This window comes from Homo sapiens, chromosome 14 (assembly GCF_000001405.40).
Source record: "Homo sapiens chromosome 14, GRCh38.p14 Primary Assembly".
In the NCBI taxonomy this organism is placed as follows: Eukaryota; Metazoa; Chordata; class Mammalia; order Primates; family Hominidae; genus Homo; species Homo sapiens.
In genome coordinates this window covers 79,856,638-79,883,086 of record NC_000014.9, presented here as the reverse complement: position 1 = coordinate 79,883,086, position 26,449 = coordinate 79,856,638, and the positions used below count along the sequence as shown (strand labels likewise).

The 26,449-nt window shown below is 38.4% G+C and overlaps 1 protein-coding gene and 1 long non-coding RNA gene across 51 annotated transcripts in view, besides 1 other annotated feature; one reads left to right on the top strand and one right to left on the bottom strand.

The window, feature by feature from the left end:
• The window catches only part of LOC105370582 (uncharacterized), a 42,877-nt gene extending 34,056 nt beyond the window's left edge, over positions 1 to 8,821 (top strand). The window contains exons 2-3 of the long non-coding RNA XR_944054.3: positions 5,039 to 5,143; positions 8,525 to 8,821. This is a non-coding gene — a long non-coding RNA (uncharacterized LOC105370582). The remainder of the gene's footprint in view (positions 1 to 5,038; positions 5,144 to 8,524) is intronic.
• Positions 7,224 to 7,393: an enhancer, noted in NCBI's record as "experimental_37584 CRE fragment used in MPRA reporter constructs". NCBI's record gives its function as "activates a minimal promoter by MPRAs in K562 erythroleukemia cells, with activity observed for the non-introgressed 14:80342122 variant allele {active_cell/tissue: K562}" and the evidence as "EXISTENCE:reporter gene assay evidence [ECO:0000049][PMID:34662402]".
• NRXN3 (neurexin 3) overlaps positions 14,796 to 26,449 on the bottom strand; it is a 1,697,919-nt gene continuing 1,686,265 nt past the window's right edge. For 20 of the 50 annotated variants that reach the window (NR_158973.1, NR_158975.1, NR_158974.1 and 17 more), the window contains one exon: positions 14,796 to 22,048. Coding sequence is in view for 45 of the 50 variants with exons in the window: in XM_011537363.2 (XP_011535665.1) it covers positions 21,123 to 22,048 (926 nt within the window). In the remaining 5 variants the exon portion in view is untranslated. The remainder of the gene's footprint in view (positions 22,049 to 26,449) is intronic. The other 30 variants (XM_011537371.2, XM_011537372.2, XM_047431953.1 and 27 more) reach the window with 2 other exon arrangements.

Below are 26,449 nucleotides of genomic sequence, written 5' to 3'. Positions count from 1 at the left end.
CTCTGACTCTGATAGAAACCCTAGACTAAATTAATTACAATTGACAACTGCTGGGTGGATGCACCAATTTTTTTTTTTTTTTACCCTGTTAAGTTTGTTTTTGTTTTTTGAACTTTTTAATTTGTGCAACTTTCCTATTGGACTGTAAGCTTCAGGTCAAGGCCTGAGTCTATCTCCCTCACCATTTTATCAGTACCTCTTAGAGTATCTGGAATCGTGCTCAAGAAGTGATAGTGAAGGAAGGAGGGAAAGAACCAAGAAAAAAAGAAAGTGTGTGGCAGATTCACCTGACAGCAATAAATTAAGTAAACCTTGAGAAGGACCCTGTATGATGGACACACCTGACAGCAGTAACTTAATGATGACCTTATGGCAGACACACCTGACTTAGCTTAAGAAATGAGGGTTGCAATGTGGAGATCGCTGAGGGGAGTTGCTAAGTGATACTGCTATATAAATGGCATGCTTCTTCAGAAGCGGTTGCTGTTCTCCTGTCCAGCCTACTGCGGTTGCACCTCCCTGTAAGTAAGTTCTCCCAATTGAACTCTGATTTGTTCTCTGGCTCCGGGTCTCTTCTTCAACCTCTTGAATCTGATGCCGTCCATATGGAAGTTAATAGGGGTCAAGCAAGACAAGAAGGAAGGGAAGGAGGGAAAAGAGAAAGAGGCAGTATTTTTTTGCCTGATTTCAGAAAGTATCAACAATGGTATTGTTGTATTTGTTATGTATTGGTTGCCCAGGTTAATTTGGCAGATTATTTTAGTTGTTGGGCCTAAACCTCTTTCTCTATTAATATTCTACATATGCCCCTTCTCCATGTTGCATCCTTGGCCAAAGGATATCCCTCTGAGAGAGGAAAACCCCTCCTGGGTCAATTGTCTATAAGTCACTGTGCTCCTTTGGCATTCCTGAGTATGATTTCCTTTATTCATGTTGGGAAATGTGTTTGCAACATCCTGATGAAAATTACTGTCAAGAGCATGCATAAACATAGATTTTGATAGATGACTGTGAGACAGAATGATAAAGCTTGCTTAGAGTTTTCTAGAGTCTTGTTGAAATGAGGGCATGAAGACCTGGCAGACATGTATCTAGGTTTTGTAAAATGAAGTTTTGAGGATAAAATATTGTTTAATCAAGGAACTTGGTGAATCAGAAGTTAGGTCGTCTGTAACAAGAGCTTAGTCCAGGCTGTGACTGATAAGGCAGGGGGTATGCCAGTGAAAAATAACAAAAAGGAGAAAGATAAAGTTGAGAGTACTGCGATTTTCTCTTACTTGGATATAACAAAGAGTCTTGTATGCTGGTATTACTGAGGCTAATAGAAGGGAGGCAGAAAATAAGGGAAAAATGATGTCTAAAACGTCTTTCTACGTAGTTACCAAACTATAAATTATTCATGTTCTAGCTTGGGGATTGCCACCTGGATCAGCACACACCTTCTCCCATAGGTTACTCACTCACTCCTGTTTTACGTGGAATGATGCAAATCCTGTTTTCAACTATTCTCGAGGACACACTCACCACTGACAGTCTAGTGCATTTGGAAGTTTTATGGCTTCTCCTTGAAGCTCTGTCCCTTTTCTCTTCCTTCCTGACTTGGCTATTTCACTGCTTTGCATGGCCTTCCCCGGAGATTTCAGTGGAATCATCAAAGGAGAGGAGACATAAGCCAGCCAGTTTTGTAATGATTTGTAGCTCTTATAAAACCATTTCTCTAAGGAAGGAGATCTTAATGAATTGTTGCCATAACGGTTTGGGATTATCTGTGAGTTTTAATTATTCCAGTTTCTCAGATCATTTTTGCCATAGAATCAAGATCTGTCTACATGGTTTGGATTATTGAGATCAAGTTCCTGATGTGCTAAGTAATTAAAAGCACAATTGATCCTTGAATCCCTAATTGCATATGTACCAATCTTCTTTTATTAGATAACTTCTTGCTTCTAATGCATAGTGTCAATTTTTAAGTAGAACTCGTTACTTTTACTGTAAACATCAGTGACACTCTCAAAGTGATAGTATCCTTGGGTCAAAGCTTGTCTGTATTAATCAGACTAAAGCAGGAAGTGGAAAACATATGTTTTGACTAGTTTTTAGTATCAACTGATTGCCTTTAAAGAAAAAAGAACCTTTATTTTTAAATGGCAATTATCTTTGCATTTATATGTCACCACTTTGTAAGAGAGTCTGCAGTGATAGAATATTCTTTCATTCTTTCATTGTTATTCATGAGATACTATCACCAAGACATAAAATCATAAAATGAATTGCCTTAAATTAGGATTAGAGTGTAGTGAACAAGTGAAAGAATCACTCATTACCTCCTGAATGCAGGGAGGCTCCAGTGTGTAAAGCTTTAGTTTCTGACAGCCCATTTATTTTATTTTATTTTTTTAAGGAAATTGAATTGGAGAGGGCAAATGGGAGGTAAAAGGAAAAAAGTTCAGCAAGGCAAAAACGTGTGTACTCAGGCTATTTCAGAGGAGTAGGGCTGAAAACAGGACAAAAAAAAAATAACAAATGTACCCTTAGTCCTCAGGAAGATTTAGGGATCTGGAACCACTAACTTTCAATCCCAAAAGGAGGTTGAGGTAAACTAAAATAAATAATAGAAAGCACTGGAATTCCTTTTGGGGCATTCTGTAGATGCTATCTTAAAATAGGCTATATTTCCATGGTGTGAAACAATGGATGTTATCCTGCGCTTGGTGTCCTGTCTCTTCAAAGGCATGGCATCTTAAGCACACATTGAAAGATGAGCAGATCTCATGACTCTCCACTCTCAGGAAATTCAAGCTTCCTATTGATACCTCTTATATTTTATTCCTCCTCCTTTGACATTATCTGCATGGTAGCCAGTTTTAGCTCCTGGAAGAGGGAATCTAAATCAGGTATAAAAATAGGTAAATGTAAAAAAAAAAAAAATTCTGGGAAAATGACATCTCACTTTTGTGAAGCAATATTTTGAGTAGTAGAAAAAGGAAACATAAAATAGGCTTATTTATTTTGTTTATTTTTATAGCATATTTATAAAAATAAAAAAATACATTTTAGTTTTAAAAATAAATAAAACATGTCTAGTTTCTGGAAATGCCTACCAGTTAAATGGAAACTTCTCTGTATAAAGACAGGTATCCTTACTATTTTGTACTTACTTTCAAAGTGTCGTTCAATGTATTCATTTTTGTTTCAATTTTCTTCCCAACATTTTACATTAAAGTGATGCAATGTCCCCACTAGGAATTATTTGGCCATTTCTCTGAAAGACTCTCTTCACAATCAGTCATTCTGCCTTGTCAAACCACTGATAGAGAACTGACTTCGTTCTGAAAACAGTTATTTCCCAGAACTTGTATCTTTATTGGAGTAGCCATAATTGAATATTTCAGTCAGATAGGAAACATTTCAGGTGATGCTAGTAGCTCTCCCACCACCTTTTCTAGTAGTGTAGCCCATTGTCGGTATAAATGTGTAAAATCTGAATTTGTACATTTCTACCCAGATGGCACAAGATGGTGAGTGATCAGTATGAGGAGGTTCCTTGAGCTTTGATACATGTTGCTACCAAAGCTGATTACCAGCTAATAACTAACTCCAGTTGAGAATGTATTTTGTAGAATTGTGAATACATCTGTCTAAAACTCTAATGATTCTTTATAGATCTTTCTGCTGGTGTATTCTGGTCCCAGAGTGGAGTGTTAGCTGCTGTGGTAAATAAAATAAAGCATCAGGAACAGTGTAGAAGAAGTTTCTATCACTGGGCTGCAGTCTCTATGGAAGATCTTGTCATTTAAAGAAAGATTAGTCCCTTTCTCATGGTACTTATTTCATTGCATTCTCTCCTCAAAAGTGGTTATATGGCCATGGGAAGACAGGGTGCTGCCTTGTTTTCGTCCTTTTTTCTGGAAGACAAGTTTAGGAAAAATTCAAGGTGAATGATAATGCCTCGTGCCATATGATGGCAAACATGCCTGGAATTATGCAGTCTTACACACAAAAAAGGGAAAATTATACACTGTAACCCACAGTGTCAATCACTTTAGCAATCTACAAAGCAAATTACAAGATGCATGCACTGTTTTCTACCCAGGTTAAGGAATCATGACAATCTGTTCTTGCTTCCACATAGCAATTACTGCACTTACTGATCACGTCTCTGGAATGGTAATGCATGAGATGGCACTATATTCCCCACTCTCTGCTGAATAATAAAAATAAGCAGAGAGGTGGCACTTTTTGGCAATCAGTTTCCTTTGGGAAAGGGAATGTGAGGTAGGAAAAAGTGACCTGCTTCTCCTTCTGGATATATTTATGCATTTTATCATTAGAGATGGCTTGGAGTCCGTTCTGATAAATTCACCCCAAAATGCTTGGCGAACAGTTGTAGGTGTCATGCTGATGAACACACATCGACTAAACAAACACTTCAATATCCAGTAAGGCCTTTGATCATTAAAATAACCTCATAACTAAGATTGTACATATGTTGAATATTTTCTATCTAATGTTGCATTTATTCATTCACTCACTGTCATTTACCACCAACAGTTTGTTTATCTCATGGGGATGTCATGTGTAAAATGTGGCCAAGTGATACATTTTGCCCAATTTCCATCTTTTGCTATTAAAGTTTTACTCCTCTCCCCTTGCTTATACTGTAGAATATGTAAAAATAGCCAGCATATTATTTGTGTTATTCATAAGTGAATTTATTCAACATATGTACTTTAAACATTGTACCTATTATGCAACAAATGCCAAGTTAAGAACTGTAGGAATGGCAATAATAAATAAAAGCTGGTCCTTGTCCTTAAAGAGATTTCAGGCTGCCAAGCAAACTGACTACTTGTCTTTTATACTTTTGAGGGATAGAAGGCATATGGAGAATCTACTTGCATTGTAAAATCGTGGGGCACTCTGACTTTTATTTTCAAATAATTGCCATCAAGAAAATTTGTATGTCTCTTAAAAACTTAATCTTTCCAGAATAGTAGGTTGTCTGCCCATTTACTTGACTTTCTCATCTTTCACACAGTCCTTAGTTTTTGCTGTCTGACTTCTGCTTCTATTACTGCATGGAAAATCTTCTTATGTGGGCAACAATGACCTTCTAGGTGCCAAACCCAAGTCAAAGAAACAGGTGAGAGCGTGGATGGCATGTGCATTAATTCATTCCACAACCATACAGTGGGTACCCACCATAAACCTATTGCAGCGCTGGGCTTACCTAGGGGAATTAAATATTTACCTATAGTGAGTGTTGTCTCTTAAGGCCTTGAGCCTCTTGAGGGCAAAAAGTTTGTCTTTGTTCTATTCCTGGAAGTCGAAGAATACTTTTCAGGTGTTTTTTTGTTTTTGTTTTTGTTTTTGTTTTTTTTGAGAGAGAGTCTTGCTTTGTCACCCAGGCTGGAGAATGCAGTGGCGTGATCTTGGCTTATTGTAACTCTGCCTCTCAGGTTCAAGCGATTCTTCTGCCTCAGCCTCCTGAGTAGCTGAGATTGCAGGCACCTGCCACCATGCCCGGCTAATCTTTTGTATTTTTAGTAGAGAGGGGGTTTTGCCAAGCTGGCCAGGCTGGTCTCGAACTCCTGACGTCAGGTCATCCACCCACCTCGGCCTCCCGAAGTGCTGAGATTACAGGTGTGAGCCCCTGGGTCCGACCTACTTTTCAGGTCTTATTAAATGCTGTGCTTCAAAAAGGCAGTTCTCCCTTTCGTGATGCTTTGGTGATAATGCTTTAAAGTAGTTTGTACCTTCTGCGGCCACTTTGTCCCGTGTCAAAATGCCCCATTGAGAAGAGGATAGGGTTTTCTTGATTGTAGTGTGGTCAAGTGGCTAGATCATGGTTATGTTCCATGGGGAAGAAACACTGGGATTGGTTTCTATTTGGTGAGGCACACAGGGCATGAGCTAAGTTTGAGTTTGGATATAACTAGGATTCAATGACTAAAGAAAGGCAAAGTAGAAACACCAATTCTAGAGGCAGGAATCATGTTGGCTGGTGGAACCAAATGTTCAAGGGCTGAGGGAGACAGAGCATTGAGGTTTTTAGAAGGGGCACTTATAAAATTCTCCAAAGAGGCCGGGCATGGTGGCTCATTCCTGTAATCCCAGCACTTTGCGAGGCTGAGGTGGGTGGATCACGTGGTCAGGAGATCAAGACCATCCTGGCCAATATGGTGAAACCCTGTCTCTACTAAAATACAAAAAAATTAGCTGGGTGTGGTGGTGCACACCTGTAGTCCCAGCTACTCGGGAGGCTGAGGCAGGGGAGTTGCTTGAACCTGGGGGGGCGGAGATTACAGTAAGCTGTGATTGTGCCACTGCACTCCAGGCTGGTGACAGAGTGAGACTCCGTCTAAAAAAAAAGAAAAAAAAATTCTCCAGAGATAAGTTGTTCAATTTTACCAGTCAAAGTTTACAGGGGATATAAATAAACAAACCTTCCCTCTGGCGTGGTAGATGTCGCCTCTCCTGTAATGATAGTACTTTCCTATTTCGTGCAAAAATGTTTGAGTTCCCATGTATTTCATTCCTTGACCTCTGTTCTTTTTACTGGAAATACGTGTGTGTGTATATGTGTGTATGTACGTACATGTGTATGTATGTGTGTGTGTACAGTCGGCCCTCCTTATCCATGGGTTCTGCATTCAGGGATTCAACCAACTGCAGATTGAAAATATTTGGGAACAAAGAAGGATGGTTGCATCTGTACTGAACTTGTGCAGACTTTTTTTCCTTGTCATTATTTCCTAATTGATACAAATAACTATTAATATAGCCTATAAGTTTTATCCGGTATTATAAGTAATCTAGAGATGGCGTAAAGTATACAGGGGTATGCTCATAGGCTATATGCAAATACTACATGATTTTATATAAGGAACTTGAGCATCTGGACTTTGGTATCCCTGGGGTGACACTGGAACCAATTCCCCATGGACACTGAGGAAGGAGAATGACTATAGACATAGTCAGCCCTCAGTGTCTATATATGTCTATGTATACACATATATGCACGTGCATATGCACACACATATGTATATACACACATAGCCTCTAAACAATTTTATCTGTACTCCTTATTTTAATTAACATTAAACATTTCTAATTTTTAAAACATCTCTTTCATGAACATGTTTATCATTGTGTACTCATATTCTCTATAGATATCTGTTACTATAGTACCGTATATATTCACTTAACAAATATAAAGTATTGGCAAAACAACAAATAAGATAGATATAACTCCTGGCCTCATGAAGCTGACAGCCTAGGAGGGACACCATATTCTCTACTGAAAGATCTATAGTTCCTCGAGCATGGCTAGTACTATGGCTAGTGCCTAATAAGCACTCAACAAAAATTTGTGGCTGGGTGCCGTGGCTTATGTCTGTAATCCCAGCACTTTGGGAGGCCGAGGCTGGTGGATCACCTGAGGTCAGGAGTTGGAGACCAGCCTGGCCGACATGGTGAAATCCCGTCTCTACTAAAAAAAAAAAAAAAAAAAAAAAAAAAAGAAAAAGAAAAAGAAATTAGCCAGACATGGTGGTGTGTGCCTGTAATCCCAGCTACTCAGGAGGCTGTGGCAGGACAATCACTCGAACCTGGGAGATAGAGGTTGCAGTGAGCTGAGATCACACTACTGCACTCCAGCCTGAGTGACAGAGCAAGACTCTGTCTCAAAAAAAAAAAAAAATTGTAGGATGAATGAATAAATATAAGTGTATATACATACCAGTGTTCTTATCTCTGTGTCTTTGAATGTGTGATTTCCTTTGCCAAGAATACTCTACCAATACTTCCAATAAACTATACCAATAGCATTTCTCTTCTTGGTGCCATCATCTCTTTTTGGCCGTTTCTAAACAATCCAGGCAATCTGGCTCTTCCTTTTTCTGTGTTCCCAATGCAAATTATATATCTCATTCACACTTCATCTGTAGAACTTAGGTACAAACAGAAGTACAACACAACATAGTCTCACGTGAGACAGACACCTAACTGCTTGAGAGCAGGAGCCTTGTTTCTTTCAGGTCTCTCTCCAGCACCCAGCCAGGGACTGGTTCACGGTAATCTGTCAGCAAATGTGAACTAGTAAATGAAAAAATTGAATTGAAATCAATTACCTCCCTACAATTGAGTTTGCATGCAAAGCTTGCCGTATTTTGGCCCCAAATTCCTCTTATGTATCTCCCATTTCCCCATGTGTCAACTAGAATCCAGCCACCTTGTTATTCTTGAAAAGTCTTTCATTTTCCCATTTTATGCCTTCCACATATTGATGCCTATGACTGAATGCCTCTTCTACCTCTTCTACAGGTGCTAACCACCCAGACTTCAGACACCTTCCAATGCTAACTTCCCGTCTACCTTTACCACTCTTCCAACATTCTTAACTCACCAAACATCCCCTCACTCTTAGCATATTTCCCATCTCCCTATCTAAAATTATTTATCTTTCTTGAAGCAATGTGATACTTTTCATATATGATGCTTAAAATTCTGTTTTCTATTTTAGATTAGGTGCTTATCACACCTGACTTTACTAGATGTCAAGCATCCTGAAAGGAGGAACCATGCCTTGCACAGAGTTTTGCAAAAAGGAAGCATGCAGTCTCTCTTGCAGTGTGTGCATACGGTTACAAAAAGATGGGAGGAGGAAATATTTGATTAAACTCTGAATATAATCCTTATTCTGCTGACAAGATTGTAAGGTTCATAGAGTTGCTAACCAAGCAGCAGCCACCAAAGCATGTCATCATGGCACTTGAAACACCAGGGAGAGAATATTCTGGGGAAAAAAAAATAACAGGTCACACGCAGAAGACAAAGAACCAAAATGTCATTGGTCCACCCAGCAGGAACATTAGAAGCTAGAAGACCATAGAGAAATACAATAAATAGGGGAAAGAATTTTATCTCTAGAGTTCTGTACTTGAAGAAAAGTATCAAATGTAAATGATAATATTTCCAGATATGAAAAATCTTGAGATACATATGATACATCCATTTTCAGGGGGCTACTAGAGAATGTGCTTTACTAAACTAAGGGAATAATGTAAAGGAACAATGTGAAACCAGAAAACAGGAAATCCATCACAGGAGAGGATGAAAAAACCAAGTTGATGATGATGGGTAGTAGCTGTGAAAGTGGTTGAAAGAGCAACCAGTTCAGATTGGAGCAAGAAAATAGAGAACTCTGGGGGAGATGCCTCAAAGATTAACACAAGGAGATTGAATACATCATTAGTAAGACTTGACAATGTGAAAGCTTGTCTTGAGTCATTTGTGAAAGCTTATCTTGAGTCATTTGTGAAAGCTATTAATGGGAGTGAGAAGATTTAGCCAAATGAATCCAAGTAGGTGAGGTGGGGGGGGAATGAAAAGTGATTATCAATTCCAGAAAAAGCTAAGCATTTTATAAAAATTTAGGTAGAAAAGCAAAAGGAATTCTAAAAATACTTTAGTCAACAGGACAGTATTTTTGTAGTCATAATCATAAAAGGACCTAACAGTATTTAATTAAAATGTATAATATAACTATATTGGAAGAATGAGGAAGAGAAAGGGAGGTGTCAGACAAAATCCTAACATTTAACATTAGGAAGTCAGTAACATCTGAAATCAGTGAGTCAAAAGATAGGTTCATATTTTATCTGGAGAAATGTGGAGGTAATTACCAGAGAAAATAAGACCAGAATGTGGTTTCCTCTGGCAAGCAGGATGTGGGAGGAGTGAAGGAAAACTAGAGCAGGGGGCTGCTGTTATTTATTGTAAAGCTTTTATTTGTCCCATTAAACTATATGTATATATTGCTTTGTTAAAATAAATTATAAAAATGTACTATTGGACCCAGTAAACCTATGGATAGGGACATAAAAGTTTGACACTATGCATCAGGTAGGTCATCACAGCATTCATCTGTCGTTAATGGGCAAATGACAAAATTTCATTTAGTGGAATCCTATAGTAACATTATAGGCCATCCACATTTGATAAATGTATTTACATTAAAGGGTCTAGGAAGGGTACTGCTTGATGTTAGGTCTTAGTGGTGTATAAACAAGGCAGGCTTTGGAGTTTATACTCCTTAGTCCATATCTTGCTAGCTATGTAATCTCAGACAGATTATTTTTCTGAGTTTTCTCAAAGATAAAATGAAGATAATATCCATATCATAGGACTCTTTAGGAGTAATATTCAAATTGCTATAATTGTTGGCACTGTTAATATTGCTGTCAATACTGGTTCTGCTACCATGGCCTATATTTGGAATTTGGCTTACATGTCTTAATTTCTTAGGTATCAGGGAAGGATCAAGTTCTGATCTCACAACTTACTGGAAGTGTGAACTTGGACAAGTCACTTAAACTCTCTAAGCCTGATTTTTCTCAATTGTGACAAGAGATAAGAGTTTAGCACAGATCCTAATAGTAAGGCTCAATTGGCTGCATTCCTCTTTTATCACTTTCCTCTAGCAAATCAGCTTCCTTCTCTGCCACATCAGCAGTATCCAAATAATTCATCATAGATTCAAAGAGCTTTCAGATTGGAAGACATCTGAGCCATTGGGCAGGAAAAGACATCAAGTCATGCTTTTTAAATTAATGGAGTTGACTACTCTTTTGCCCTGAAGTATATAATTGCTCTTTTGTGACTTTATAGGCTACTGTGCTTCTCAAAATGTGGTCCATGGACCAGCAGCACAGAACTGCCTTTGCAGGTTAGAAATGCAAATGTTTAGATCTCATTCCAGATGAACTGTAGTTAGTGGGGTCAGTGATCTGTGTCGTGAAGAGCCCTCCAGGTGATTCTCACACGTGCTAAAGTTTGACAAATGGCTGGCCTCAAATTTTCAAAGCAAAGTACTGGGGGAAAAAAAAAAGGAAAATGATAAAGATGTGTTTGTACATCCCATGAGTATCAGATCAGCTATATTCAATTGTTCCTTCCACTAAAGTTGCTCAGTCACCTCCTCTGTGCCAGACACTGTAAGGGTTACTGAGGATTCAAGATGAATATTTTAGATCATGGCAAACACTTGCCTGACCAACCACAACTTTCATAAAATCATTCTACATATTTTCATAGATTCAATGATTGGCTTTCTTATAAATATGGATGCATTATCAAGTTCTCCAGGATTACTTCCTGGGCTCTAGCTTTCCAGTTTAAGTGATCATATTTTCTGATGTCTCATGTCTATTTTCCTAAAAGCTGCTATATTGTGTGTAAACTCATCTGCCTTCTTGAATGTTTTACATATAATTTACATAGAATTTGGCCATAAAGTAGATAATCTTCCTCTTTATCCAACTAAAGCATCTACCTGGAAGAAAATTATCTTTACTTCTACGTGACTTTATATTATAGATGATGATAGCCAGGGTGTTTTTGATCTTTTAATATAAATTGTTCCAGTGTGTACCCATCTCTCCAGTCATTAGACACTCTCCCTGAAAATACTTCTTAGATCTAAATTGCTAAGCAGGGATTCCGTGTTCCCAAGGCTTTAATGAGCTGCATGTATGCCATTGCCACTTTCTTGCAGCCATAAAGTCAGAGAGCTTCCAAGGATTCAATTTTTAATAAAGAATAAAAATCTAAGTAGATTCAACCTAAAGCAGGAAAATAAAATAATAGAATATGGGTTATGGAGGAAGGAAGAAAGCAGGCGGGAGAGAGAGGTAAAGAAATAAGCATTATCAGCATTTTAATGGGAATGAGTAAACAGTCTGCACTATAATAAATCTCCTAGGCATTTGATCCCAATAAACCATCTTAATCCTCAGGGCTATTCTGGCAGCATGAGATAACTACTCTGAAACCAAAATGTATTTAGCATAAAACTCACATTCCAATGTTTACTGTGTATCTGCTTTTAAAAAGTAAATTGAAAATTTAAACTTCTTTGAGGTTGTGTAAGGGGAAACAGCCTCTAAGGACCCCTTCTGCATGTCATCCAGCACCTGCCTGCCAAAGTCAATGTTGGGATGCCCACTGGTTCGGGAGCTGGAGTACTTGTTAACCGAGGCCTTGTAATCCGCTGTTTCATCTGAGCATTATTTGACTGGCTTAGGCTTTGAAAACTTTCTCCTTTTTGTGTGCATGTAGAGGGCTTTTTGATATAGGCATGATGGCGGTCCCACTTCAACTGATTTATGTCATAGAAATATCAAAGTCACATGTCCATGTATGGTTGACCTGTAAAATCTTTTAATTAAAAAAAAATATTACTGTTTTCAGTGTTAATCGTGACCAAGGAGTGGTCCAATTACTTTTTATCCTTTTTTTTTTTCAAAGCCCATTAACTTATCTATACCTAATGTTCTCAGTAAAATACACTTGCCAGTTACTACTTCATAACATCAACCTGTCTAGTTATAAAAGCTATTGCCGGCCGGGCACGGTGGCTCATGCCTGTAATCCCAGCACTCTGAGAGGCCAAAGTGGGCAGATCGCAAGGTCAGGAGTTCGAGACTAGCCTGGCCAACATAGCAAAACCCCATCTCTACTAAAAATACACAAAATTAGCCGGGCATGGTGGCAAGTGCCTATAATCCCAGCTACTTGGGAGGCTGAGGCAGGAGAATCACTTGAACCAGGAAGGCAGAGGTTGCAGTGAACCGAGATCGCACCAGTGCACTCCAGCCTGGGCGACAGACTGAGACTCCGTCTCAAAAAAAAAAAAAAATGCTATTGCCCTGGTGTACATATATGTACCAAATTGCAGCTTGTCATTTGCCAGATGAGGAAGTCAAGCCTGTCCACCTAAGCACATATGGGAATTATGTTCTTAAAATATATTTTAGGGAAGTGGTGTTTATAATAGCAGTGTTTAAATATGTTTTGCATTTTTAAAAGAAAAAGATACACAAGTTCTAGTACAAAAGACAAGCACAATACCTGAAGCGATTTACAATGTATTACCATATAGGAACAAGCAACTCATTTTTTTCCTTTTGTTCAAAAGAAGTGGAGACAGAGAGAGAGAGAGAGAGAGACAGGAGAGAGAGAGAGAGAGAGTGTGTGTGTGTGTGTGTGTGTGTGTGTGTGTGTGCGTGAATTCAGAGCTTATCTGTTAGCATCAGACACTACTGGCATGAAGGGAGAGACCTCATTATTATTTTACATGCTTTAATTCTGGAACTGTCTTCTGAGCAGTTACAAACTGCTTAGAAGCAGCTCTCCTGCCTCTGCTCTCTTCCCCTGCCCTACCTTTTCTTCTTTCTTGCTTTGGTTTTTAAGAAAGAACTGTCCTAGACTTCCCACATCAAATTTGACATCAAACCAGATCTGGTTACTCATACCCATACATGCATATAAGTACATTTTCCTGCGTGGTATATGAACATTGAAAACTATACTGTAATGCCAAGGAAGTTTTAGCTATTCAGTTTTAATGATGCCTCTGTTTTTATCTACTTTCTGACCCCCACCCATCAGCCTGTCTACTGTACTCTTTTGCAAACCTAAAGGACCTGCCTTAAGAATGTTTATATATGCTCTGCTAAATTTCCAAAATAAATAAAATATCAAACTACCAAATGCAGAGTAGGAACAGAAAAATCATTAACTTGTTGAAACTAATTATTCTATGTTCCATTTGGCTCCATGAAATGAAGAAGCAAAAGTTTATAGTGGTTCTGTCCATTCATCCTAACACTTACCTTGACTTTATGGTAGAAAAGAATGTACTATCAAATAGTCTATAACTCTGTGTCTCTGAGTCTCTCTCTCATGATATTTTTATAGTGAAAATTCTAGGTCAAAAATGGCAAGTGAGTGAGAACAAAGAAGAAAATCATTGTCAAAAGACAATGGAGCAGTAAAAAATCATAACTTGAAAATGTGCTTAAGGATATCTCTTCTGTGTAGACTCATGTAAATTCAGTATAGTTACAGCTATTGAAAATACATGAATATAACCCTCTTAAAATATGCTAGTAGATCTGTGATCATGTTTTTAGAGGTAAAGGTATTTCTTAGCTTTCACATGTACAAATTAGAAGTCTCCCCTTTTACTTACTCTCTTGAAAGAGTACAGATTCTCTTCCACAATGGCACATTTTACAAAAGATATAGCAGCAATATATAATCTATAGACCGCTTTTTATTCATTTTAAAAGGTGATTGAGCACAGTTGAATTGAAATACGTACAAGCTGAAACATCTTTCACTTTTTCAGGCAATCTCATTAAATGATGAAGAGTCTACTTAGCAGCTAATCTCTTTTAGGTTGTCACTGAATAAAGAACTAGAATCATGCCATTAATTGTCCATCAGAAAGAACGTTAGGCTTAGGTACACTGAAACACTAAATAAGACTCAGGTCGAGAGGCCCAGCAGCAACTCTTTGAATGCTTTTTGTTTTATAACTTTGTGTAATATTACAAGATATTCTTTCATAGGGAGGTGGGCACAGATAAAACAAGGGTAACAAAATATTGATCTTGAAACCAAGTGATGGATAAATGGGGGTTTGTTGCGCCATTCTCTTTGGGGTATATTTGTAAAACGTTCACAATAAAAAGTTAAAAACAAAATAATGCATATCAATAAAGGGGTGCAAGGTTGCCTGAGGTATTTGGCTGACCAAGGGCCACAAGAAAGCTGAAGGATGGAAACTCAGAAAAGGAGTGACATTCTCGGGATGCAGGGCTTCCCTGGGCCTAACTGAAGCTGGTAGCTGGAAACAAATAACTAGTGCTGATGAAGGAAAATCTTTGCTAATGAGCTAGCAACTAAATTTTATATTGTCTTGGCAAATGAAAGAATTAGAGAAAAACTAAGAGTGCCAAACTTTCGTATTTTTATTAACTTTTTGGTCCTGGTTAGTCATGCATATAGCAGCTAATTTTGATCCTGCCTGAATCAAGTAACAAAGCCAATTGTAATAACGACCAACATTTATTTAAGGATAATTATTTGTCACACATATGTTAAGCATTTCACATGAATTATTTCATCCAATATTTCTCAAGAAACCTGCAAGATAAGTATAACAAAATTATAGGTATGAAAGCTGAGCCTTAGCTAAGCAGTTTATCTTAAGTTACAGTACCAGATGAGCCATGGCATTTTGACTCTAGAACCCATGTAATCATTAAAAAAAAAAAACTCAGATATCTTGAAATTCACTCTACTCATTTAATACATCTCCCAAGATCTGAGCATGCATTGCTTTTAGCTGTTGTTGTCTTATATGCCCTCACTCTCATGCAACCCTAACACTGCTCTTCTATCCTGGGCCCTACTCACGTGATCCTACCTGCTCTGTGGCTTGGTGTCTCTTGGAATTATTTGCTCTTCTACTTGGGCCATGTAACCACTTCAAAAAGGTTAGAATTGCTTCCCAATTCTGATTCCCTTGATACTTTGGAACTTCAACCTTTGCAATTCCCACTACTATACATTTGCTAGAAACAGAACCATATCCCCTCCAACATTCATATGTTGAAGTCCCAACCCCAAACATGACTGTATTGGGAGGTAGTGTCTTTAGGAAGTAATTAAGGTCAAACAAAGTCATAATGGCAGGGCTTTAACCAATAGCACTGGTGGTCTTATAAGAAGAGCAAGAAAAAGAAATCTCTCAGTGCATGAACAGAAGAAAGGCCCTGTGAGTACATAGTGAGAAGGTAGCTTATTATCTACAAGCCAGGAAGAGAGCCCTTCCCAGAAACTGAGCCCTAACAAACTTTGATCTGCAACTTTGTTTCTGGAACTGAGAAATACATTTCAGTTGTCTACCCAGCCTGTGGTATTTTGCCAGGGTAATCCCAGTAGACTAACACAATATCCTCTCATTTCCTGCCTTAGCTTCCACTTCAAATGCTTCTGGAAAAAGTAGAAAATGACTTGCTTCTCTAGAGACAGGTTTATGAAAGAGCTCTAAATTTGGAACCACAAGACTGGATTTTAAGTCATGACATTGTCATGTATTAGCTGTGTGACCTTGGAGAAGTCATTTAAGTTCTTCGGGTCTGTTTTCTTTGTAATAAACACAATTAGAAAAATACGTGCCCTCACTATTTCAACAATAAAAGAAAAAATAGTAAAGCTATAAAGTTGTATTATTAATGGCAGCTAACCCCTTACTGATATTTAGAGATCTTTTCATTAGCGCCTTCCTACTGGTGCTGTCAGTGGACTGCTGCCATTAATCACTCACGGTCCCACTTGGGTATCTGACCTTGTCCTTTAATATATCCAGAACACTGAAGCCCTCTGACTACAGCTTTTGTAACCTCTGTAGCAATATGTCAGTTTCTGATCCCATTCTCTCCAAGAAGATTGACTTATGCCTTTTTCCCCCAGATAAACATCTCTATCAGGAAACTCGGTTGCTCCATAAGAGTAGATCAGTTATTACCTTTCATTTCAAATATGCTCGAGTCCTTTGTACTCGACAAAGCAGCCCTTGACCTTGAACTTCTCAAGCTATTCTCCCATTTCTCTCTTCCCATTCATTGACATGATTTCAAAAACCTTCCTACTCATATCTTCCTCCAATGTACTTTTTGCAGTCTGTCATCAATCCAAATTATGGTTTTGATCCTGCTTGCTCCCACTTTAAGGGTTTGCTTAGAATGATATACAGCCCTTATTTCTGCCTATCAGTTTTCCAAGGTTTACCAAAATGTCACCCCTTCTATGAAGCCTTCCCTTACATAATTTCTTCTAAGCTCCCAACTTAGTTTGTACTTTTTGATAGCTTATTTGCATTCACTATAGTACCATTTTTTGTTCATCTTTACTAGATGATAAGCTCCCAAGGCTCTCAATTTAATATCCCATAATCATTTAGTAAATATTCAATAGACATTATCAAACTGATCTTAAACTATATAATCAAGATATTAGTTCAACTGGGACAAACACAGGGCTTGGATATTTTTTGGAGAAAGATCAAACTTCAATTTGAATATGAGCAAAGAGAGACTGGACCTGTATAGATTTATACAAGAGACAAAAAGGCTTAAAATCCTTCTAGCCATTTTCTGCCTTCATTGAAACAAAGTAACAATAGCCAATAGTAGACTAGCTTGTACATAAGTGTTCAATAAATGTTTCTTGAATTAAAGAAAAAGTGAATGCTTAAAGTAGTCCTAGAATTATATATTAGTGAGATTTAGAAAGATTTCAGGAGGAGTGGCTCACACCTATAATCCCAGCATTTTGCAAGGCCAAGGTGGGTGGATCACTTGAAGTAAGGAGTTCGAGACCAGCCTTGCCAACATGGTGAAACCCTTCCTTACTAAAAAAATAAAAAATAAATTAAAAAATGAGCTGGGTGTGGTGGCCCATGCCTGTAGTCGCAGCTACTCAGGAGGCTGAGGCAGGAGAATCGTTTGAGGTTGAGAGGCAGAGGTTGCAGTGAGCCAATATCATGCCACTGCACTGTAGGCTGCAAGACTCCATCTCAAAAAATGATGGGAGAACATCTAATACAGAACTTTGAAGACAGGAACAAAAAAAAAACTTTACATAATTTGACATCACTGAACCTGACTTTCTCCCCCCCATTCCTAACATAGTCGATAGTATAACCACTCCACTAATGTTATCTTGAAGGCACAGGCTTAACTAAATATATATTTTTAAAATTCTAACTCTTTGAAAACTGGTAACCAACATATGGATAAAGGACAGCTGTTCAGTTAAATCTATATTTCTAGATTACAGTGAAGAACAAAGGGTAGATGGATTATCCAATTGGCCAAGTAAGTGTGTGCTGAGAGAACGAGAAATATGAGACATTACTGCTACAATGGGTGTATGAAACAAGTTGTAATCAGAAATTCTTGTAAGAAGCTGTTAAAATTGAAGAACTCATTTAAATTTTGGTTTTGGATTCTGTTTTTTAATTTTAAATTTTAATATGGTGGGAGGCTTGGAAAGAAGACATCTAAGACTTTCTAGTGCTTATGGCACTATGTGAACATAGTTTTAAATACTGTTTAAAGCTTGTTGACTTATAGAAAATACGTAAAAGGTACGAAATGCCTTTAAAAAACATAGTATCCAAGCCGGGCGCGGTGGCTCACGCCTGTAATCCCAGCACTTTGGGAGGCCGAGGCGGGTGGATTACGAGGTCAGGAGATCGAGACCATCCCGGCTAACACGGTGAAACCCCGTCTCTACGAAAAATACAAAAAATTAGCCGGGCGTGGTGGCGGGCACCTGTAGTCCCACCTACTCGGGGGGCTGAGGCAGGAGAATGGTGTGAACCCGGGAGGCGGAGCTTGCAGTGAGCCGAGATCGTGCCACTGCACTCCAGCCCGGGCGACAGAGCGAGACTCTGTCTCAAAAAAAAAACAAACAAAAAACGAAAAACAAAAAACAAAAACAAACAAACAAAACCATAGTATCCAATAATCTTTTCTAGAATACAATGTTTCTATCATCTTTCCAGAAAAATGCACTCCCTCCTGGTTATTCTATCATAGCAATCTAAAAAATAATGCCTCAAGTAACAGATAATTATCTCATAAATATGGCATTTTGATAATGTAATAATTAGTAACTGCTTAGAATATCTTCTATCACATGAAAGTGGTCTAGCTCTTACTCGGCTTTTAATAAGATATGACATAATTAGCTTCAGTGCGAGATTTTCTCAAATGTTAAGAAAATAAAAGTGCATCAGCATACAAGGTTTTGGGAAGAACATTTTATTGCTAAGCATATCCTTGAACGAAAATGCAAATATGAACTAAGAAAAGAAAAAAGAAAAAGCAGTAATGTCACAACATCATTAAATAAATTCCTTTAGGTTCTGCTAATAAAACAGGAATATGATAGAAGCTCACATAGAGAATGCACATGTTCCCATAAAATTGTCCAAATAGAAACTTACACTGAAAGGAATATAACAAATGTATTATTACTTAAATTGAAAAAAATGAAAGAAAGCAGGAAATCAATTCACAAGACCTCAAGACTCCAAGAACAGCAATCTTTTACAGACATCGAGATATAATCAACTTCGTATAGGCTGGGCCGTTTAGGTTATCTAAAATCGTGCTTTGATATCTCTTTATAATCCTGTCTTTTTTAATGATAACAAAAAAATTAAACTCTTAACACATTGAAATATTAGATAATGAGGAACACCTCTTTCCACACACATTAGTAAAGGCTACCATTTAGATTGCACTTTTTGCCCCATGTCGTTAAGATATTTTTTCAAAGTCAAATATTCATGCAACTTACAAAGACCAGCAAGAGTAGATTTCTAAATCTAAGCAGCTGATTGATTTTCATCTGTACAAAAGAAATTGTATATCTGACCCTCCAGAGGACACACTTCATTTTTGTGTGAATATTTGTCTTGCTTTGTCTCTTGCTTTTCGGATAGCTATGGCCATACAACCAGTTTATTGTTTTTCTGTACATTGTTTCCTCTTTACAAAAAGAAAAAGACAACCAGAATATAAACCAAACAGAAATAAACAGGAAAAAAACATTTCTTAAAGCAGTATGTACATAGGTGGCTAAGGAATTATACCAGCAAAAATGTAGTAAAATATGTAAACAAAATCTGAAGTTTTTTTTTTTAATTCTCTTTGACACAGTTAACTGTGACAAAACTAAAATTCACACTTTCTTCACATTTTAAGGTTTGCTTTTTTGTTGTTTTGCTATTTTCTTTTAAAACAACATTCTCATTCCATTTTAAGACTTTAACAGATTTCCTGTGTCAGTCATCCCATCAAACATACCATGATAAATATATCTGTATATATATTTATTTATATATATATTATACTATTAAATTCCTTTTGTGTGTGTGTCACAGCAGCTTTATTCATTTATTTGTTTTTAAAAAAGATGGGTGAAGAGAGAAGTGAGCAAATGGAAGGACAGAGTTATCCATAAATGTCAGGCTACAAAATTAAACCACTATGAAAACCATTGTCACATTCGGGGCGGGGAAAGAACTATGTGTTTTGTACTCTGGCATGACATGGTTGGCTTGTGTGACCTTTTGTGGTTCCATCACGAGTTGAACTCCCCTACTGTCTGGTTTGATAACAGACTTTAATATTGTCTTTTTTATTTGCATGCATTTCAATCAGTCACAGATCCAGCCCACCTCCCCTTCCTCTTCCCTAGGAAAGGCTGTTTTAGTTTGTGGGGCTTTCCTCTTTAACACAATTTGGCTGGGTGAATGGACAGGAACAATATTGTTACGTAAAGCCAATAGCTCTGATAACACCAGCCCTAAACCCATCTGTTCCGGGTTTGGGTGGTAAATTCTGAAATTAGATCCTGGGGGACCAGCTTTTCGAATCAATTTATCATCCGTCACATGAATTTTGCTATGTGTTCAGCAAAGCATCTTATAGGAAACAAACAACAGATTCTAGAGACACCATAACCTGATATGTAGAGTGAACACCATGATAGCTTTTGAGTTCATATGGCAATAGTCTCTCTCGCTTTTGTTTTGAGTTTTTTTCCTCTTCTGATGTCCAGTCATTATCAAAAAAATAAACAAAAACCCAAAAGCCATTTTTCCCCTCAGATCATAAAGTTACACGCACACTGGTCAGAACCAGATAAGGGTTGTGGGTTTTTTTTTTTGTTTGTTTTTGTTTTTTGGTGTTTTTTTCTTTTTTAACTTTTTTCTTTTTTTGTTGTTGTAGTTTTGTTTTTTACATAATTAAACAGAAAAAACATGGTTACAGTCAAGCTTCACAAACATTACAGACTCACTTGGAGTTATGGAACAAGTAAGCCATGAAGTCTTCTACCTTTTAGTAAAAGGTCCTCCGGAGAAGGAAGTTTCCAGGCCTGCGGAAGTGGTGGAGCCACCGTCCGGCTCCAGAGCGCTAAGTGTGTGCTTTATGATACAGCAGGGCACAAAACCTTCTGTCTCCCAGCGACCGCTGGGACCTTGCCGCAGCCGTGGCTGAGCTTTAGAGAGAGATGCATCGCTGTGTGTGTGTGTGTCCTTTAAAAAACGGTTTTCCCCACCAGAGTCGTGGTTATATACCCCATTTCATAGTTCCAGCAGTTCTGACATCTGTGAGATCTCACCGTCCAAAGATTCATAGGCGTGGATAGAAATAACTGTGAAAACTCGCGTGTGAGCAGTGTTCGCATGTTTACACGTAATACTCCCTGTCCTTGTTTTTCTGTTTCTTGTGGCCGCTCTTCGAGCTCTGCTGCTTCTCCTTCATGAGCGTGCCGTTGCTCTGGGCGGAGTTGCTGATGTAGTTCCGCGTCTCGTCCACTTGATAGGACCCCTCGTCCCTGTTCCTGTACTTGTACATGGCGTACAGGAGGATCAAGATGCAGAGGGCGGCAGCAGCCACAATGCCGACGACCATCCCTGTTGTGCTGCTCGACTCCCGGATCACCTCTGAGGCCCCCGGAACCCGTCTGATTCCCGGCTCCGTGGGGTTTGCTGTGGGCACATTACGGAACATGGGGGAAGTAATTAGTGGGCTCTTCAGTTTGGTGCTGTCTAGCTCATAGGCAGTGGGCAACGGAAGCAAGACTATATCAGGCTGGGGTTTGAGATCACGGTTATTCATTTTGCCAGCTGGCAATTTGGGCACCATCCCAGACGAGGAGGAAGCTGTGAAGCGGATCAGCTCAGGGGATAAAGATGTGGTAGTAGTCCTACTAGTTTCGGAGACTTTGTTAGGTCTAAAGTCCTTGGATTCCCACTTGGGCGCATGTGCTTTGTAGCCACCTTCGAAGATTGAAGTGGAAAGACTCTTATCTGTTACCAAGGAGAAGGTGGTGTAAAAATCTTCATCATCAGTAGGGGGCAGGTTAGAGTCAAAGGTTTCCCCTGAGCCATACCCAGATATCACCAAGCCATCATCATCACAACCATCGCTGCCTTGGTCCGACAAGCAAGGTAACCCCGCCTCAGAGGTCATGGACAGGGAATCTTTGGTGGTCTCAATAATGGTGAGGAGGGGGCGAAAGGTAGGGGGGAGTGTAATGGAAGGTGCACGAGTAGCAATAGGAGGGGTAGCTAAAGGGTCTTCTACAAGAAGAGGGATAACTAATTCACCTCCTGGGATGGAAAAGAAAAAGAAAAACAATTAGTATATTTGTAAACAACTCTCACTCAACCAACGTCATTCACAGATTATGCCTCAGAAATTATAATAAAAAGATCTGGATCTTTTCTGGATGGAGTCTAATCATTCTAGGCAGATTTGGAGCCTTCTGTATGCCTCTTGCCACCCAAACCTGAAATCCCTAGATCAGGGGCTTAGATTTTTTAAAGATACTCTCAAGTAATTATTTAGATAAAATTCAACTATATATGTTCTTTCCAGGATCTGCTTATGGGCTGATGACATTCAGTCAATGATACTGTTATAAATACTGGCTGGCTATCAAAATTGGCATGTGTGGGTACACGCACACATTGTGTGCTTAACTTAAGAATTTATTAACATGCGTTTAAGATTTCTTTATTGCCTTCTTGGGATTCTGCTCATTTGCTCCCAGGAGGATGAGAATGACCGATTCACCATCTTATTGAGACCAAGATCAAGAAACATAAAAGATTGTGTCTTTTGTGTTTTCTTAAGTTACTTCCTTTTATTTCACACTTATTAATCACAGTCCTTGTTTACTATAAGCTGAGCAATAGGGATTTTTAAAAAGTTAAAAATATTCATCTAACAAATCCATTTTGACCATGCTTTTCCAGAAATCCCCCTGACTATTAAATGACAGCTTGCCTTGCATTAGTCTAATATTTGTATGCATTGCTTTCATGCTGTATGCAATATATGCTGAGCTGGAAGCTAGATTTTCAAAATACTCAGCCTAGATATCCATGACTTGAAACTGTTAGACTCAGAAATGTTGACTTAGCAAAGTGAGTTTTTTAAATTGGTGATTGCTAACTAGTGTGGCAAAAACATATCTGTTTACCCATAGACCCTCGTTATTGCACTTAGAATCATACAGACTAAGTTGGGAAAGAAAGCTCAGAATAGTTCATTAAATAACAGGGCCTTGCAGATCATGGGTACCACAAATATTCTGCAGTAGTGGTTGCTTACCCTACTGTAAGGCCAAGATTGCTATGCATCTATGTCAGCAGGATAACTGATCTCTCTTCAGTGTCTTTATAATGTTGTTTTCCAAGCAAAGGAAGAATCTTAAGAAGTCATAGTCCATGTCTCTTTATTGAATATATTCCAGAAAAATGTATTCCCACTATCACTTAAAAAAAATCCACTCGCAGGGATGCTGCGAATGTTTCCCTGCCCCAGTTATTTAGAAGGTTGAGGTACTAATGTGACGTTATTGTTGAAGGCCTCTTTCTGAGCTGACCCATTGAGCTGTCAACTGGTACCACGTACGTGTGTCTCTTACACTTGGTAATAACTTTGCTGTGATAGTATAATCAGTGTTTGAGTAGCTGTTAACAGATAAGACTGTAGCTGAGGTACCCACCTCATCAGTAACAAAGCCAGACAAGGAGGTGATTCAGTACCAGAGTTCTAGGGGACTCCAAGTGAATAAGCCTTGGAGCCTACACAGTCTTCCAGGGTTTTTCCTATGAAGATTGATTCACAAATTAAAACTCTCCTTTTGAATGCATAGGAAATGCTTCAAGATGCAACCTTTCCACACCTTGCATCCTGAAACCTTTCCCATGCATCCAAATTGTCCAGGTTTCAGGTGTGCTAAGAGAAGGGCTTCCTGAGAAGAAAGCTAATACCTACCTTCAAGCACTGAGAAACTGTTGGTGCCCATGTCAGAAGCCTTTATTCTCTCCCTGTTTAGCCAATAACAATTGTGTTCTGCAGAAAGAAACTGAGTTTCTGAGGGAACCGAGAAAGCATATAATGTGTACCATTTAGAAGGGAAGGGACAACAGAATGTTGCAGTGTCATCTCTGGCCTATGTGATAATTTTACTATGAAATTTAAAAAAATACCTTTTTGAGATTCTCAAGATGATCTTGTAGTATGTGCTCTAAACCTAAGCCTCTATTCTGGTGCTCAGAGTTTGAAACTATTGAGCAAAATGATCTGTGCAGATTTGCCAAAGATTCACACTTACTGTACTAGACCAGCAGACACCTGTTTTTTTTTTTTTTCTTTTTTTTACATTGTGAACATATATAATTCATATGCCTTACAACTTATTTAATGCATAATTTACACACTTTTGCTAGTTTTTACAAATGGGATTTGGAGTGCAGTTCCCTAAAGGTAAGCCAGTCCTAAAACTAACTCTGAGCAAACTTTTTTATTATTCTTCTGCTAGGGGGTCCCAAGTGGTAGATTTAAGGTGATATATGAAAGAGGGCAAGGTTTGAGTAATAGGAGAGCAGTGATGAGAGAGAGGAAGTGAAGGCCCATGGACTCTGTCTAAAGCTTCCGTAAGGATTTCTCAGGCACAGTTTTACTTACCTTCAGAGGACAAGGCAGGATTTTTTTTTTTAACTTATCTGTAACACAGGTTTAACATGTGTGTTCTTTTCTGGCACAAACACCGAGTCATTTGTTCCTTATGGCAATGACAAATCTACCCCATGTAGAGTAAGCAAAGAGGAAACTAGGTTAAAGGACAAGGAATAACTGATATCTTAGGAGGCAAAGCCCTGGTACAAATAGTTTGAATATAAAGGCAAACTGTTGGGTAAGAGGCTAGTGTCCCTTTAAGTGGGATTAAGATCACCATCTTCATGATTACAGAGTGGCATTCATTTGCAATTTTAGTGTACCATCTGTGACACCCAACCGGAGTCTTAAATTTGCCTTTTTGTTTTTTCGGTTTGTTTTTTCTCCTTTCAATACCAGCTAAAGTTTCCACAGTGTACTTGTTGTTTCAAAATCTACAAACTGTTCACTCTGCAGTTGAATTACTTTACTTTGCTATCTCCCTCTCATTTAACACACTAATGCAAGTATCTTAGATTTAAAAAAAAAAAAAAAAGAGTAACCACATTTTTTATAACTCTACAGTAAGAGGGTTCTGAAGCTTGTTAATTTATAAAGAGCTTCTAAAAGCCTGGTGAGTCCCAAAGTGAAATGATAAGAGCTTATTTTAAAACTAAAATGATGGGTATGCCATCTCAGAGTTTAGAAAACAAAATCTTTCAGAACTACTGATCTCTAGTTTTCTTTGCCATTTTGTTATTAATCTCGGTAGCAGCGATAAAAATGATAAATGATACCCTCTGTTGGGAAAATCTGAGCCCAAATTATGCTGATTTTTAGACAACAAAGTGGTAGAAGCTTTCCTAACCCCTCTTTCCTGGCTTCTCAAGAAGTGGGAAGATTGCCTTTAGTTTAAAATGAAGTCAACTGCAGTACACGGGGGTCCTTATGACAAATAGCAATTCTAATGAAAATAGGTAGAACATTTTAGATAACTGTAAACATGAAAAATGCCTGGGACAAGTGTATATGTTGGTGTAATTAATTTTAATATTAAATTCCATGTTTAAGATTGCAGATGATAATAGTGTCCTGGGGGATCAAAGGCACACATCATTTGAGAGGAGAAAGTGATGTATTTCTCCTACTATAAGATCATTAATAGAAATAACTTAGTTTGGCCAGGCACGGTGGCTCACGCCTGTAATCCCAGCACTTTGGGAGGCCGAGGCAGGCGGATCATGAGGTCAGGAGATCGAAACCATCCTGGCTAACACGGTGAAACCCCATCTCTACTAAAAATACAAAAAAATTAGCCAGGCATAGTGGCTGGCACCTGTAGTCCCAGCTACTGGGGAGGCTGAGGCAGGAGAATGGCGTGAACCTGGGAGGCAGAGCTTGCAGTGAGCCGAGATCACGCCACTGCACTCCAGCCTGGGCGACAGAGCGAGACTCTGTCTCAAAAAGCAAACAAACAAACAAAAAAGTAGTTTGGTGGGAAGCTATTCAAAGCTTCTTGTTTATTTTAATCAAAAGTGACTACCCTGAGAAATGTTCAAGTAGCTGATAATATTTTCTTCACTTCCCAGAGATCATGAAGTCAGTGATCAACTATGTGTCCCATGCCTACAAAAGTATTCATGGAAGCAAATAACCCAAAGTCATAAAGGGTTATGAGCAGAGTAATACAAAACCTGTAATCCATCAAAATCCTAATTTCCTATGCTATCCCCAGAATTTTTCTTTAGTTTGGGATAAAAGCTATCTATATTCTTTAAAGTTAGCATTTTAAAATCAGGCATACATACCCCTTTTTGGCAGGATTGTGCTTTTCTTTAAACTAGAGAGATCATTAGAGATATAAAAGGTCTATTTTAGCCCTGAAGGCTTCCCGGCTTTTTTGCTTTATGAGTGTATTTGTAGATATATAATTCATGCCTCTAGGGCTGATATCCAGCAAAAGGGGCTCACTGCCATCAAAAAAGACAGTGTATAAAAAATTTAATAGAATTCTTCTGAACTGTGAGAATGTTGTGGGTGATAGTGAATGCAGTGGGTTATCT